This window comes from Homo sapiens, chromosome X, assembly GCF_000001405.40.
Source record: "Homo sapiens chromosome X, GRCh38.p14 Primary Assembly".
Lineage (NCBI taxonomy): Eukaryota > Metazoa > Chordata > Mammalia > Primates > Hominidae > Homo > Homo sapiens.
The window spans coordinates 16,221,277-16,238,614 of record NC_000023.11 but is presented as its reverse complement, the minus strand read 5'-3'; positions in this window follow the sequence as shown (position 1 = coordinate 16,238,614).

The following is a 17,338-nucleotide window of genomic DNA, read 5'->3' as shown; positions in this document are numbered from 1 at the left end:
GTTCAATGCTTTTTCCGTTATACCAAATGGCTAATAAATACCAACATTCCCTCTCCGTCCATTCACCATTTCCCTAGTCAGGTCGTAGCTAAAATCATTTATTTTGTATTACAAAAAGAATACAGTAAATGAGGCCCCCATAATAATATTTTCTAGAAAACTTTTTGTCTAATAAAAATCCTTTAAATATTGGTTTTGAAGTAAGCTGTAAGGAATTCTTCTCTGCCACCCCAATCAGTGATTTATTCTCTTTCCTATTAACTTCACAATGCATTTGTTTGGTGCTGAGAAGTAGCTGTGCTTTGGTCCCATCTCAGGAAGGTGAAATAAGATCATGATATTGAAAAATCTTAAAGTTACTGAACTAAAACGCCAAGTTATTCTGCTGATCTGTTTCTTTACGCAGTCTGCACTCTCAAATGCAAAACAGCTGGGCCTGCTTGACTTAAATAACTAGACCAGTCTTTTCCAAAGTTATCCCCCACAAGCCTAGGATAACCTCTGCCTTGGAACTTCAGATGTTTCCACAAGGCTCTTTGGGCACCATTTTATTATTACAAATCATTTCAGATGAGTTACTCTGTTTAGGTTTTTATGTTATTCCAGAGAAGGCCCACCTGCTGGCTTGTGGCAATGGGAGGAGGGGGGTTGTGTCAGGTGCCCCTGGATTGGCCTTTATTTGAAACCTGGTGATTGTCCCTATTGACAGTTGCTGTGAAGATACTTCTTGGAATGAGGCTTTGTCTGCCCAGAGCTGCTTTGGGTGTCAGAACAAAGGACGTGGGTAAAGAGTTATTTCCTATGGGGAGTCTTGCATGCCATGTGCCTCACTGTTCCTTGGGGACTCTTCTCTGGAGAAAACACTTTACAAATGGAGAGCATCATGAGAATGCATAGAACAAGTGGCAACGTAATGGCGTGAATGAAAATTTAGAAACTTTGAAGATGAGCTCAGTACATCTTCTTCCATCATCTGCCATGGTCTAATATGTTTGTGTCCTCCCAAAATTCATATGTTGAGACCTAATCCTCAACGGGGTGGCATTAAGAGGTGGGCCTTTGGAAAGTGATTAGGTCACCTGCCCTCATGAATGAGATTACTGCCCTTATAAAAGAGGCTCTGGGGAGCCTGTTTGTCCCTTATGTTATGTAAGGGCACAGCAAGAAGATGCTATCTTTGAAACAGAGGGTGAGCCCTCACCAGTCAATGAATCTGTTTGATCATGAACTTCCTAGCCTCCAGGACTGTGAGAACTAAACTTCTATTATCTATAAATTGCCCAATCTATCATATTTTATTATAGCAGCCTGAACAGACAAAAATATTCATTCCTTGGAATCTCAGGGAATCATTAAATTTTAATAATTTTCATCTATTATTCGTGTCATTCTTCAGGATGCCAAAGGTAGGATTTCAGCATAAGCTAATTTGGCCTTTTTTTTCAGATTCCATAAAGCAAAACCATATCTGTTTTCTCTCCATAATTCCTTTTATGGAAGATTTTAAACTTTGATGGTTTTCCCCCCAAATTAGCAGTAGAAAAAATACTTCTGTCAAACAAAATCTTATGCCGGAACAAATAAAAGAAACAGACAAAAATTATAACTAAATTCAGGAGGAGTAAGGTATATAAAAATGTATCCTGAAATGACATCAAAGTAAATTCTCATGTATAGTAGTTAAAACATTCCACTAAATAGCTTTCTGATCTTGAGTGAGTTACTTATCTTCACTGGGGACAATAATACACCAACCTGGGGGGGGCAGCCAAGATGGCCGAATAGGAACAGCTCCGGTCTACAGCTCCCAGCGTGAGCGACACAGAAGACGGGTGATTTCTGCATTTCCATCTGAGGTACCAGGTTCATCTCACTACGGAGTGCCAGACAGTGGGCGCAGGACAGTGGGTGCAGCGCACTGTGCATGAGCTGAAGCAGGGCAAGGCATTGCCTCACTCGGGAAGCGCAAGGGGTCAGGGAGTTCCCTTTCCTAGTCAAAGAAAGGAGTGACAGACAGCACCTGGAAAATCAGGTCACTCCCACCCTAATAGTGTGCTTTTCCGACAGACTTAAAAAACGGCGTACCAGGAGATTATATCCTGCACCTGGCTTGGAGGGTCCTATGCCCATGGAGTCTCGCTGATTGCTAGCACAGCAGTCTGAGATCAAACTGCAAGGTGGCAGCCAGGCTGGGGGAGGGGCGCCTGTCATTGCCCAGGCTTGCTTAGGTAAACGAAGCAGCCGGGAAGCTCCAACTGGGTGGAGCCCACCACAGCTCAAGGAGGCCTGCCTGCCTCTGTAGGCTCCACCTCTAGGGGCAGGGCACAGACAAACGAAAAGACAGCAGTAACCTCTGCAGACTTAAATGTCCCTGTCTGACAGCTTTGAAGAGAGCAATGGTTCTTCCAGCACGCAGCTGGAGATCTGAGAACGGGCAGACTGCCTCTTCAAGTAGGTCCCTGACCACTGACCCCAGAGCAGCCTAACTGGGAGGCACCCCCCAGTAGGGGCAGACTGACACCTCACATGGCCGGGTACTCCTCTGAGACAAAACTTCCAGAGGAACGATCAGACAGCAGCATTCACGGTTCACGAAAATCCGCTGATCTGCAGCCACCACTGCTGATACCCAGGCAAACAGGGTCTGGAGTGGACCTCTAGCAAACTCCAACAGACCTGCAGCTGAGGGTCCTGTCTGATAGAAGGAAAACTAACGAACAGAAAGGACATCCACACCAAAAACCCATCTGTACATCACCATCATCAAAGACCAAAAGTAGATAAATCCACAAATATGAGGACAAAACAGAGCAGAAAAACTGGAAACTCTAAAAAGCAGAGCGCCTCTCCTCCTCCAAAGGAACGCAGTTCCTCACCAGCAATGGAACAAAGCTGGACAGAGAATGACTTTGATGAGTTGAGAGAAGAAGGCTTCAGACGATCAAACTACTCTGAGCTACAGGAGGAAATTCAAACCAAAGGCAAAGAAGTTAAAAACTTTGAAAAAAATTTAGACGAATGTATAACTAGAATAACCAGTACAGAGAAGTGCTTAAAGGAGCTGATGGAGCTGAATGCCAAGGCTCGAGAACTGTGCGAAGAATGCAGAAGCCTCAGGAGCCGATGCCATCAACTAGAAGAAAGGGTATCAGTGATGGAAGATGAAATGAATGAAATGAAGCGACAAGGGAAGTTTAGAGAAAAAAGAATAAAAAGAAATGAACAAAGCCTCCAAGAAATATGGGACTATGTGAAAAGACCAAATCTACATCTGATTGGTGTACCTGAAAGTGACAGGGAGAATGGAACCAAGTTGGAAAACACTCTGCAGGATATTATCCAGGAGAACTTCCCCAATCTAGCAAGGCAGGGCAACATTCAGATTCAGGAAATACAGAGAATGCCACAAAGATACTCCTCGAGCAGAACAACTCCAAGACACATAATTGTCAGATTCACCAAAGTTGAAATGAAGGAAAAAATGGTAAGGGCAGCCAGAGAGAAAGGTCGGGTTACCCACAAAGGGAAGCCCATCAGACTAACAGCAGATCTCTTGGCAGAAACTCTACAAGCCAGAAGGGAGTGGGGGCCAATATTCAACATTCTTAAAGAAAAGAATTTTCAACCCAGAATTTCATATCCAGCCACACTAAGCTTCATAAGTGAAGGAGAAATAAAATACTTTACAGACAAGCAAATGCTGAGAGATTTTGTCACCACCAGGCCTGCCCTAAAAGAGCTCCTGAAGGAAGCACTAAACATGGAAAGGAACAACTGGTACCAGCCACTGCAAAATCATGCCAAATTGTAAAGACCATCGAGGCTAGGAAGAAACTGCATCAACTAATGAGCAAAATAACCAGCTAACATCATAATGACAGGATCAAATTCGCACATAACAACATTAACTTTAAATGTAAATGGACTAAATGCTCCAATTAAAAGACACAGACTGGCAAAGTGGATAAAGAGTCAAATCCCATCAGTGTGCTGTATTCAGGAAACCCATCTCACATGCAGAGACACACATAGGCTCAAAATAAAAGGATGGAGGAAGATCTACCAAGCAAATGGAAAACAAAAAAAGGCAGGGGTTGCAATCCTAGTCTCTGATAAAACAGACTTTAAACCAACAAAGATCAAAAGAGACAAAGAAGGCCATTACATAATGGTAAAGGGATCAATTCAACAAGAAGAGCTAATTATCCTAAATATATATGCACCCAATACAGGAGCACCCAGATTCATAAAGCAAGTCCTGAGTGACCTACAAAGAGACTTAGACTCCCACACAATACTAATGGGAGACTTTAACACCCCACTGTCAACATTAGACAGATCAATGAGACAGAAAGTTCATAAGGATACCCAGGAATTGAACTCAGCTCTGCACCAAGCGGACCTAATAGACATCTACAGAAATCTCCACCCCAAATCAACAGAATATACATTTTTTTCAGCACCACACCACACCACACCTATTCCAAAATGGACCACATAGTTGGAAGTAAAGCTCTCCTCAGCAAATGTAAAAGAACAGAAATTAAAACAAACTGTCTCTCAGACCACAGTGCAATCAAACTAGAACTCAGGATTAAGAAACTCACTCAAAACTGCTCAACTACATGGAAACTGAACAACCTGCTCCTGAATGACTACTGGGTACATAACGAAATGAAGGCAGAAATAAAGACGTTCTTTGAAACCGACGAGAACAAAGATACAACATACCAGAATCTCTGGGACACATTCAAAGCAGTGTGTAGAGGGAAATTTATAGCACTAAATGCCCACAAGAGAAAGCAGGAAAGATCCAAAATTGACACCCTAACATCACAATTAAAAGAACTAGAAAAGCAAGAGCAAACACATTCACAAGCTAGCAGAAGGCAAGAAATAACTAAAATCAGAGCAGAACTGAAGGAAATAGAGACACAAAAACCCTTCAAAAAATTAATGAATCCAGGAGCTGGTTTTTTGAAAGGATCAACAAAATTGATAGATAGATCACTAGCAAGAGTAATAAAGAAGAAAGGAGAGAAGAATCAAATAGACACAATAAAAAATGATAAAGGGGATATCACCACCGATCCCACAGAAATACAAACTACCATCAGAGAATCCTATAAACACCTCTATGCAAATAAACTAGAAAATCTAGAAGAAATGGATAAATTCCTCGACACATACACCCTCCCAAGACTAAACCAGGAAGAAGTTGAATCTCTGAATAGACCAATAACAGGCTCTGAAATTGTGGCAATAGTCAATAGCTTACCAACCAAAAAGAGTCCAGGACCAGATGGATTCACAGCCGAATTCTACCAGAGGTACAAGGAGGAACTAGTACCATTCCTTCTGAAACTCTTGCAATCAATAGAAAAAGAGGGAATCCTCCCTCACTCATTTTATGAGGCCAGCATCATCCTGATACCAAAGCCTGGCAGAGACACAACAAAAAAAGAGAATTTTAGACCAATATCCTTGATGAACATTGATGCAAAAATCCTCAATAAAATACTGGCAAACCAAATCCAGCAGCACATCAAAAAGTTTATCCACCATGATCAAGTGGGCTTCATCCCTGGGATGCAAGGCTGGTTCAATACATGCAAATCAATAAATGTAATCCAGCATATAAACAGAACCAAAGACAAAAACCACATGATTATCTCAATAGATGCAGAAAAGGCCTTTGACAAAATTCAACAACCCTTCATGCTAAAAACTCTCAATAAATTAGGTATTGATGGGACGTATCTCAAAATAATAAGAGCTATCTATGACAAACCCACAACCAATATCATACTGAATGGGCAAAAACTGGAAGCATTCCCTTTGAAAACTGGCACAAGACAGGGATGCCCTCTCTCATCACTCCTATTCAACATAGTGTTGGAAGTTCTGGCCAGGGCAATTAGTCAGGAGAAGGAAATAAAGGGTATTCAATTAGGAAAAGAGGAAGTCAAATTGTCCCTGTTTGCAGATGACATGATTGTAGATCTAGAAAACCCCATTGTCTCAGCCCAAAATCTCCTTAAGCTGATAAGCAACTTCAGCAAAGTCTCAGGATACAAAATCAATGTACAAAAATCACAAGCATTCTCATACACCAATAACAGACAGACAGAGAGCCAAATCATGAGTGAACTCGCATTCACAATTGCTTCAAAGAGAATAAAATACCTAGGAATCCACCTTACAAGGGACGTGAAGGACCTCTTCAAGGAGAACTACAAACCACTGCTCAATGAAATAAAAGAGGATACAAACAAATGGAAGAACATTCCATGCTCATGGGTAGGAAGAATCAATATCGTGAAAATGGCCATACTGCCCAAGGTAATTTATAGATTCAATGCCATCCCCATCAAGCTACCAATGACTTTCTTCACAGAATTGGAAAAAACTACTTTAAAGTTCATATGGAAACAAAAAAGAGCCCGCATGGCCAAGTCAATCCTAAGCCAAAAGAACAAAGCTGGAGGCATCACGCTACCTGACTTCAAACTATACTACAAGGCTACAGTAACCAAAACAGCATGGTACTGGTACCAAAACAGAGATATAGATCAATGGAACAGAACAGAGCCCTCAGAAATAACGCCGCATATCTACAACTATCTGATCTTTGACAAACCTGAGAAAAACAAGCAATGGGGAAAGGATTCCCTATTTAATAAATGGTGCTGGGAAAACTGGCTAGCCATATGTAGAAAGCTGAAACTGGATCCTTTCCTTACACCTTATACAAAAATTAATTCAAGATGGATTAAAGACTTAAATGTTAGACCTAAAACCATAAAAACCCTAGAAGAAAACCTAGGCATTAGCATTCAGGACATAGGCATGCCTATGTCATGGGCAAGGACTTCATGTCTAAAACACCAAAAGCAATGGCAAGAAAAGCCAAAATTGACAAATGAGATCTAATTAAACTAAAGAGCTTCTGCACAGCAAAAGAAACTACCATCAGAGTGAACAGGCAACCTACAAAATGGGAGAAAATTTTCACAACCTACTCATCTGACAAAGGGCTAATATCCAGAATCTACAATGAACTCCAACAAATTTACAAGAAAAAAACAAACAACCCCATCAAAAAGTGGGCGAAGGACATGAACAGACACTTCTCAAAAGAAGACATTTATGCAGCCAAAAAACACATGAAAAAATGCTCACCATCACTGGCCATCAGAGAAATGCAAATCAAAACCACAATGAGATACCATCTCACACCAGTTAGAATGGCCATCATTAAAAAGTCAGGAAACAACAGGTGCTGGAGAGGATGTGAAGAAATAGGAACACTTTTACACTGTTGGTGGGACTGTAAACTAGTTCAACCATTGTGGAAGTCAGTGTGGCGATTCCTCAGGGATCTAGAACTAGAAATACCATTTGACCCAGCCATCCCATTACTGGGTATATACCCAAAGGACTATAAATCATGCTGCTATAAAGACACATGCACACGTATGTTTATTGCGGCACTATTCACAATAGCAAAGACTTGGAACCAACCCAAATGTCCAACAATGATAGACTGGATTAAGAAAATGTGGCACATATACACCATGGACTACTATGCAGCCATAAAAAATGATGAGTTCATGTCCTTTGTAGGGACATGGATGAAATTGGAAATCATCATTCTTAGTAAACTATCTCAAGGACAAAAAACCAAACACCACATGTTCTCACTCATAGGTGGGAATTGAACAATGAGAACACATGGACACAGGAAGGGGAACATCACACTCTAGGGACTGTTGTGGGGTAGTGGGAGGGGGGAGGGATAGCATTAGGAGATATACCTAATGCTAAATGACAAGTCAATGGGTGCAGCACACCAGCATGGCACATGTATACATATGTAACTAACCTGCACATTGTGGACATGTACCCTAAAACTTAAAGTGTAATAATAATAAAATAAAATAAATAAATAAATAAATAAATAAAAAAGAAACAGCAAGTACCTGGGAATAAATCTCAGGTGAGAGATGCTGAAGAACTCCATAGAAATAAATATATAAAAACTTTATAGCAACACTGAAAAACATTTAAAGAAATGGATAGATGTATTTTCTTTAAGTAGCAGAAAATTCAATATTATAACAATGTGACTTCTTCTTAAATTGATATAGAGATTCAATGCAATCTCAAAACAATCTCAACTTTTTTTTTTTCTGGGAACTTGCCAAACTGATTGTAAATTTACGTGGAACATAAAAGATCAAAAACAGCCAAACATCCTTGAAGGATATCATGATTGAATAAAATGTCCTATCTAGTCAGTGGTCATTAGTGTCAAACACCACTATAAAGACAAGTGAGGTGGGGATGGACACATGCCTGTGGGATATGGCATTATTGAGGCCATCAGTGGTAACAATGGGATCACTCCATTGACCTGGTGCAGATGGACATAAAACAGAAATTGATTGAGATGGTAAAGGAGTGATTTGAAAGTGGAGACAAGGAGCACGCTACAGTATTCTTTGAAGAAGTATAGTTCTTAAAGAAAGGAAACACATTGGGGAGGATGGGTTGAAGAAGTTTTTGCTTTGTATAGGCTGGAGTCATTTTAACACATATGCTTGATTTTTAAAAAAGATTGTGTGGAGGAAGCAGTTGACAGAAACAGAGAAAGAGGTAAATATTGGGTAACAGTCTTTGATGAGATGTAAATGTTGTGGGATCTAATACATGGAATTGTCCTTCTATAGGAAAAGGTAACTCATTTCTTCTGACACAGTAACAAAGAGAATGGGAGTAGTGTTGGGGTAGGCAGTTTGTGTAAACTAAAAGCTGATAGAATTTCTACGTGATGCTCTTCATTTTGTCAATAAAGTAGGAGGAGGAACTGACAGCTAATAAGAGGGAGGATGGAAAAAGTAAGTTATTGGGCCTTGGAGAGAGACCTTGGAACACCCATTCAGGGAATTGAGATGGGAAGAAACTCGGAGACTAATAAGGCATTTTCTGAGTTATCACAGAGAGTCCTGCTGCATTTGAAGTCATTGATTTATAAGCTAGGGCTTTTTATTTGAAGTTTAGTGTCTATCAAGAAGAATTAACATAAGAACACGGCTAACAACATGCCAGTTGCTCTTATTATCATATCAAAACTCACAACAACCCAATAGGAAGGTACTATTATTATCCTTATTTTATGGAACAAAGAAATGTGACTTCCTCAAGGTCACATGGCTAATAAGTGGTAAAGCTGGGATTGCATCCTAGGCAGCTTGAATTTGGAGCCCACATCCTTAAACACTATGCTATACTGCAACTGTTTGAAATTTTGTTTTGTGATCTCATCCTTTAGTGATCGCTGTAAATAGATTAATGGATGGTACAGATCTGTTCTATGTTGAAAAGTGATATCAGAGAATCTGGGCTGTTAGGTTTTTGTTTGTTTGTCCATTTGCTTTTTTGTGAAATTAAATCAATAAAGAATTTTATGCCCAGAAAGAGAAGAGCTCTTTGATATCTGGACCAGTGAGCTTTTGTGTTTCTCTGTGTACCCTTGACCCATGGCTACAATTTTAGAACTGAAGCTATAATTCGGAAAGATCTTTACCCCCTTTTGAGTGTGCAGTTTTCCTATCTCTGGAGGATGTTAACCAATTAGATTATGAAGCATCTCAAATTAAAGAAACTCTATTCTGAGCTCCTTGAACTGTCAATCTACATTGGTTTATAGATATAAATGAATGCATACAGAAAATGAATATTCCCCATATTTCAGAAAATAAGGACACTTCTAATATTTTAAAGGTACTAAAAAGTTTTCAGAAAAACTAACTCAAAAATATTTTAAGAATCCAAGTCCATGTAATTTTGGCAAATAAGACTAATTAAATAATTTTGGTTTAATAAAAACAACTATGTCTTCTCTGACTTACCAGTGTTGAATACATTTTTATTCTATTTGCATATGTTTTTCCTAAATGTATACAGATCAAATAAGGTAACATTACTCCTAATGTTTAAGATTATGGAAAATGTAGATTTATGTTAATTAAATTGCATCATTATTCTACATTTGATCTTAGCCAAAAGGTCAAGAAATTATATTCTAAAAAACTTTGAATTTCAGCAGCAATTATGTTTTGTAGTATGTCAGCTTAAAGATAATTTCCACAATTTTAAAGTACCTTAAAATTTGGGGATGATAGGGGCAGGCACAGTGGTGTGTGGAGGCTGAGGCAGGAGGATTGCCTGAACCCAGGAGTTTGAGGTCAACCTGGGTAATATAGCAAGAGCCTGTCTCAAAAAAAAAAAAAAAAGAAAAAGAAAAAAAAATGTAAAAAAAATTGGGGATGGGTTTCACTCACGTCCGTGTGAAGAGACCACCAAACAGGCTTTGTGTGAGCAACAAGGCTGTTTATTTCACCTGGGTGCAGGCGGGCTGAGTCCAAAAAGACAGTCAGCAAAGGGAGATAGGGGTGGGGCCATTTTATAAGATTTGGGTAGGTAAAGGAAAATTACAGTCAAAGTGGGGGGTTGTTCTCTGGCTGGCAGGGGTGGGGGTCACAAGGTGCTCAGTAAGGGAGCTTTTGAGCCAGGATGAGCCAGGAGAAGGAATTTCACAAGATAATGTCATCAGTTCAGGCAGGAACAAGCCATTTTCACTTCTTTTGTGGTGGAATGTCATCAGTTAAGGCAGGAACCGGCCATCTGGATGTGTATGTGCAGGGGATATGATGGCTTGGCTTGGGCTCAGAGGCCTGACAGTGGGGATGATAGTAAATTGAGTTAATTAATGAATCACCATTCGATACCTAGGTCATATAATTACCAAGCATAATTTTATCTTTATAAAGTTTTGCTCTTAATTTGTGTATACCAAAGAAGAGGTTATATCTTTCGGCCATGTCAAAGAATGTGTTCATTTTTGCCACTTTGACAAAGTATAAAAAGGGGTTGTGTGACTGTAGAAGGTTGTCTGAAGAGCTTTGCCTGTTTGCTGAAACACTTGTGGAGGGCCAAAAGTTCTCAATTATTTTCCCCTCCCTGTTTACTTCATGTAATAGAAGTTAGTTACTTTTGTTAAAGGTTATAATTAATGAGTGGCTGAGATACCCTAGCAGAAATAGTGGCAGAAAAACACAACTGTGCATGTGCCTTTTTTTCTCAAGGAAAAAGAGTATGTATGCCTTAATGCAGTAGTATTCAGCTTCTTTTTCCTTTTTGGTGTCTGAACCTCTTTATACTCTTGGAGCTTACTGAGGAGCCCAAAAAAACTTTTGTATATGTAGGTTAACTATCAATACATACTATAGTAGAAATGAAAACTGAGACCATTTTAAAATACTTACTTATTGGTTCCTTTAAAAATAGCAATGATGAATACATTGCATGTTAGTAACATCTTACTATTACAGTGAAATTAATGCTGACCTTTTGGGTGCCCTAAGATCTGTCTTAAAGTGTCAGATTGTTCCAGAATGTGAAGGAGCTAATGAAGGACAAACCTTGGAAAGTAAATCTCATTTGCCCTGGCTTATAATACCCAAGTTTGAAAACAAGTTATAAAATGTGTTAAAATCTTAGCAAAGTGTGCTCAATTTTGGTGGCTTTATTTCCTTGGTTTACTGCTTATTGGCTTTGCCTACATTAGAGACAGTTGTTTTATACTTTCCAGATAGAAATTCTGTGTCTAACCAGAATAATTCCCTGGGCTTTATGTTGATTTTATTATATCTTTGACTATGTGGAAAAAAAAAAGAACAAAGGTTTGTCATTCCTCACTTGTAAAAGAACAAAGATTCTTTACAATCATGTTGCCTTCTTTTTTTTTATTTTAAAATGTTTTATTGACACTGATGTAATATAGAGCCAAATGTTACTTCTCAGGCACCCACAATTGTATTTTAACCAAGTGTGCAAGACTCCTCTGACAACTTCTTTGATTTTTGCTTGATATATTTTGATTTTTGCTTGGTATATTTCTTGGTATATTAGTTATGTTTCAGATTATTATATATATCAGGATTTTTCCCTTTAAAAAAATATGTTCATCCATTTTTGTCTTCTTCCATTTTTATACATCAAATGTAATGTTTACTAGCTTTGTTGAAAATAGGCATAATCACTGTTTTCAAGACATTTTGTGGACATTTTTAGAATGACTTTATTATCTTTGCTTTTCACGTCCTGGAAGAATGCAATTTCCTTGTCAGTTGCATTATTCTTATAAACTTTCATCAAACATTTCACATATGAGAATTTTTAGTGAAAGTTGATTTTCAGTGAAAGTCTCCTTGCTCTACAGATAGCTTTTATTTTACTCTAATTATCATTATAAGCTATAAATCATGTTTTTGTCTTCAGTAAATGAAGAACCATCTCAGAGTGCTGTGAAAGACTATGACAGGTAATTATTGACACTATGAAAAAAATCCTGAGTACAGGCTTCTGATGGTGTCATTTAGACATATTTGAAATCATATCAGTGGACTGAGTCAGGATTTTCAGAACTCTTTTTAGCCAACAAGTAAATAGTTTCATAACACTACTGACACTCCATCAGAATAATAACTTTACATAGGACTGAATAAACTGATAAGAGAAAATTTGTTGTGATTACTTGTTTGGAATAAAGTTGAATTTGTTTGGAATAAAGCTGTTTTAGTGGTTTTTTTCCTGTATTGTATAAGAAAACTTTTCTTTTTCTACTTAAGCTATCTGTAACCCGCAACATTTTTAAACAGTTTTACTGAGATATAATTTATATACCGTAGATTTCACCCATTTAAAATATAAAATTCAGTGCTTTTTAGTACATTCACAGAGTGAATATTGCCATCACCACACCATGAACACAATTAGAACATTTTCATCATCCTAAAAAGAAATTCTGTAGTTATTAGCAGTCATTCCTCCCATCATCTCCAGCCCCCAACAACAACTAATCTACTTTCTGTTCCTATAGATTTGCCTATTCTAGGCATTTCATATAAATGGAATCATGCAGCAATGTGGTCTTTTGTGACTGGCTTCTTTCACTTAGCATTGTGTTTTCAAGGTACATGCATATTGTAGGTATATCAGTACTTCATTCCTTTTGATTGCTGAATAAAAAGGAATATTTCATTGTATGGATTTGGCACATTTTATTTTTTCATCAGATGATAAACATTTTTGTAACCCACAACATTTAAAATTATATCTGATTCTCTCTGACACCTTTTCTCCCTCTACCACTGCCCCTTGAATTCCAAAATTTTGTTTCCTTATTTTTCCTAGAAATATAGTTATTTGCATAGTTTAATTAAGAACCTGCCATCCTTTTTACTAGAATATAATTAGAAGAAACAGTTATATGAGCAAGATCGTGCCTGAAGTGTCATATTTGAGAATTATGCTAATTGAATTAGATATGCCAGACATTTTTATGGACTAAAATTGGCTTTACTTTTGGAGCAAATGCCCACAAAATCCTTCCAGGAAAACTCACGATACCTAGAGAGTCCAGCCTTACATGAGCTCAGAAACATTGCTTTCTGGCAGGCCAGGAGCCAGGAACCTTAGTACACTTGCGGGACCTTGAGGAGAAGGTATAGATAGTGCAAATGAAATTTTGTGCAGAGCATTTCTTGGGCTTGGTTTCCTAGCCTCAGGACTGCAAATAGTAGAGGTCGTTAAATCTGAGTTTTTAATGTAAACTTCCAGCAAAGCTAATTTAGGAAGGCCTATGTGGTAAACTAAAACTTCCTACACCTATGTAAATAATCAGGCCAAATCTAATGAGACTAGTTTTATTTTGTGATCATAAATAATCATTCATAGAGATTACTTTGATCTCTAAGAGATAGGGAGAAAGAGAGTATAAGGAAAAATATAAAACCTTAAAATGGACTATTAGGGTACAGAAGATGATTCCTCAAAATATGGCATGCTATAGTTTGATTTGTAGGACCCTCTAAACCTCATGTTAAAATTTGATCCCCAATGTTGGAGGTGGGGCCTAGTGGGAGGTGCTTGGTCATGGGAGTGGATCACTCATGAATGGCATGGTGCTGTCCTTGCAAAAATGAGTGAGTTCTTGCTCTATTAGTTCCTGTGAGAACTGGTTGTTAAAAAGAGCATGATACCTCCTCCCTCTGTATTTTTGCTTCCTCTCTCACTATGTGATCTCTGTATATGCCAGCTCCCCTTCACTTTCTGTCATGAGTAGAAACAGCCTGAGGCTTTCAGCCGATACTCAATCTTTCAGCCAGCAGAATCATGGGCCAAATAAACATCTTTTCTTTATAAATTAGTCAGCCTCAGGTATTCCTTTATAGCAACACTAAATGGACTAAGACGGAACATTGGTACTGAGGAGTGGGGTTTGCCATAAAGAAACTTGAAAATGTGGAAGCAGCTTTGGAACTGGGTAATGGGCAGAAGCTAGAAGAGTTTGGAGAGTTCAGAAGAATTCAAACAGACGAGAAATGTTGGAACTTCTTAGAGATTGGTTAAATAATTGTGATCAAAAAGCTGATAGAAATATAGATAGTAAAGGCCATGCTGAACTGTGGTATCAGATGACAATGAGAAACTTTGGGACTGGAGCATAGATCGCCCTTGTTACACTGCAGCAAATAATTTGACTGCATTATGTCTATGCCCTAGGGCTTTATGGAAGGCTGAACTTAAGAGCAATGACCTAGGATAACTGGGGAAGAAATTTCTTGGCAGCAAAGCATTCAAAAAGTAATGTGGCTACTTTTAACTGCTCACCATCAGATATGGCAGCAAAGGAATGACCTAAAGGTGGAATTTATAATTGAAAAGGAAGCGGTACATACAAATTTGGGAAATTCACAGCCTGGCCATGCAGTAGAGAAAAAAAAAAAAAAGCATTTTCAGGAGAGGAATCCAAGGATGCTATGGAGCAATCATTTGCTAGAGAGATTAGCACCGATAAAAGGGAGCCAGGTGCTAATAGTAAAGATGATGGGAAAAAGACCCCCAAAGCATTTCAGCCATCTTAAAGATTACTCCCTCCCATCACAGGACCAGAGGCCTAGGAGGATAGAATGGTTTTAGGGAACAGAACCAGGGTACTGCTAGACTGCACCACCTTGGGATGCTGCTCCCTGCATACCAGCTGCTCTGGCTCCAGCCACAGCTCAAGGGGCCCCAAGTACCACTCCAGGGAGTGCAAGCCATAAGCTTTGCCAGCTTCCATGTGGTTTTAATTCTGCAAGCTCCCAGAATGCAAGAGTGGTGGAGGCTTAACAGTTTCCACTTAGATTTCAGAGGGTATATTGGAAAGTCTTGGTGCCCAGACAGAAGCCTGCTATAGGGGCAAAGTTCCCACAGAAAGGCTCTACCAAGGCAATGCTGAGAAGAAAGGTGGAATTGTTGCCTCTGCAGAGTTCCCATCAGGGTATTGCCTAGTAGAGCTGTGGGAGTAGGACCACCACTCTTGAGACTCCAGCATTAATAGAGCCATCAGCAGCATGTAACTCCAGCCTGGAAAAACTGTAAGCATTCAACTCCAACCCATGAGAGCATCTACAAAGGCTGTGCCCAGGAAAGCCATGGGGGCAGAACTGCCCAAGGCCTTGTGAACCTATCCCTTACACCAGTGTGTCCAGGATGTAGGTCATGGATTCAAAGGAGATTATTTTGAAGTTTTAAGATTTAATTTCTGCCCTGCAAGGTTTTGGATTTGCTTTTGGAATGGGAATGTTTACTCAATACCTGTACAACCATTTTATCTTGGAAGCAAATACATTGTTTTTTATTTTTCAGATTCACAACTGTAAGGAAATTGCCTTGGTCTCAGATGAGACTTTGAACTTTTAAGTTGGTGGTGGAGCCAGTTAAGACTTTGGGAGACTATTGGGAAGGGATGGTTGTATTTTGCATGTGGGAAGGACATGAGATTCAGGGGGCTAGGGCTACAATGCTGTAGTTTGGTCTGTTTGACATGCCAACCTTAAATAATGTGATTCAGAAAATATGATTCAGTATAGAGTTTATTTGAGCACCAAGCTTGAGGAATGCCACCTGGGAACAGACTCCAAATGAATGGGGTCAGCATTCCAAAAAGTGGAGAAGTAAAAGTTTCACTTATATAGGCAGAGACAGAGATATTTTAGCAGGATTACAACATTTTCCATAGAGACCAGTGCATACCTCACAACAATTTGATTGGTTACATTTACATTCCAAGGAAGATGACATTATTACTCCATTAGGAGGGATAGTGATCTGAGTGGGTCTTATCTCTGGCTCCATTTGATTTTATTATTTACAGGGGAAAAAAAGGCAGAAGTTGCAGTTGCATGTTGCATGACTCAGGCTGCATAGCCACATTCCTCTCAAGGCTAAGAATAATTTAAAGTTATGTCAGGCCTCTGAGCCCAAGCTAAGCCATCATATCCCCTGTGACCTGCATGTATACATCCAGATGGCCTGAAGCAACAGAAGATCCACAAAATCACTGAAAATAGCCTTAACTGATGACATTCCACCACTATGATTTGTTCTTGCCCCACCCTAACTGATACATATATTCTCCCCTGCCCTTAAGAAGATACTTTGTAATATTCTCCCCACCCTTCAGAATGTGCTTTGTATGCCTATCCCAAACCTATAAGAACTAATGATAATCCCACCACCCTTTGCTGACTCCTTTTTTGGACTCAGCCTGCCTGCACCCAGGTGAAATAAACAGCCTTGTTGCTCACACAAAGGCTGTTTGGTGGTCTCTTCACACAGACGTGCATGACATTTGGTGCCAAAACCCGGGACAGGAGGACTCCTTCGGGAGAGCAGTCCCCTGTCCTCATCCTCACTCCATGAGGAGATCCACCTATGACCTTGGGCCCTCTGACCAACCAGCGCAAGGAACATCTCACCAATTTCAAATCAGGTAAGCCGTCTGTTCACTCTTCTCCAGCCTCTCTTGCTACCCTTCAATCTTCCTCTCTCGCTACCCTTCAATCTCCCTGTCCTTCCAATTCCAGTTCTTTTTCCCCTCTAGTAGAGACAAGGAGACACATTTTATCCATGGACCCAAAACTCCGGAGCCGGTCACGGACTTGAGAAGACAGTCTTCCCTTGGTGTTTAATCACTGCGAGGACACCTGCCTGATTATTCACCCACATTTCATTGGTGTCTGATCATTGTGGGGATGCCTGCCTTGGTCATTCACCCACATTTCCTTGGTGGCAAGTCAATTGCAGGGACGCCTGCTTAGGCTGCTCACCCACATTGCAGCCCAGGGCTGCTCATCCCCAACCCCCTTCTCCATGTCTCTACCCTCTCTTTTCTCTGGGCTTGCCTCCTTCACTATGGGCAACCTTCCACCCTCCATTCCTCCTT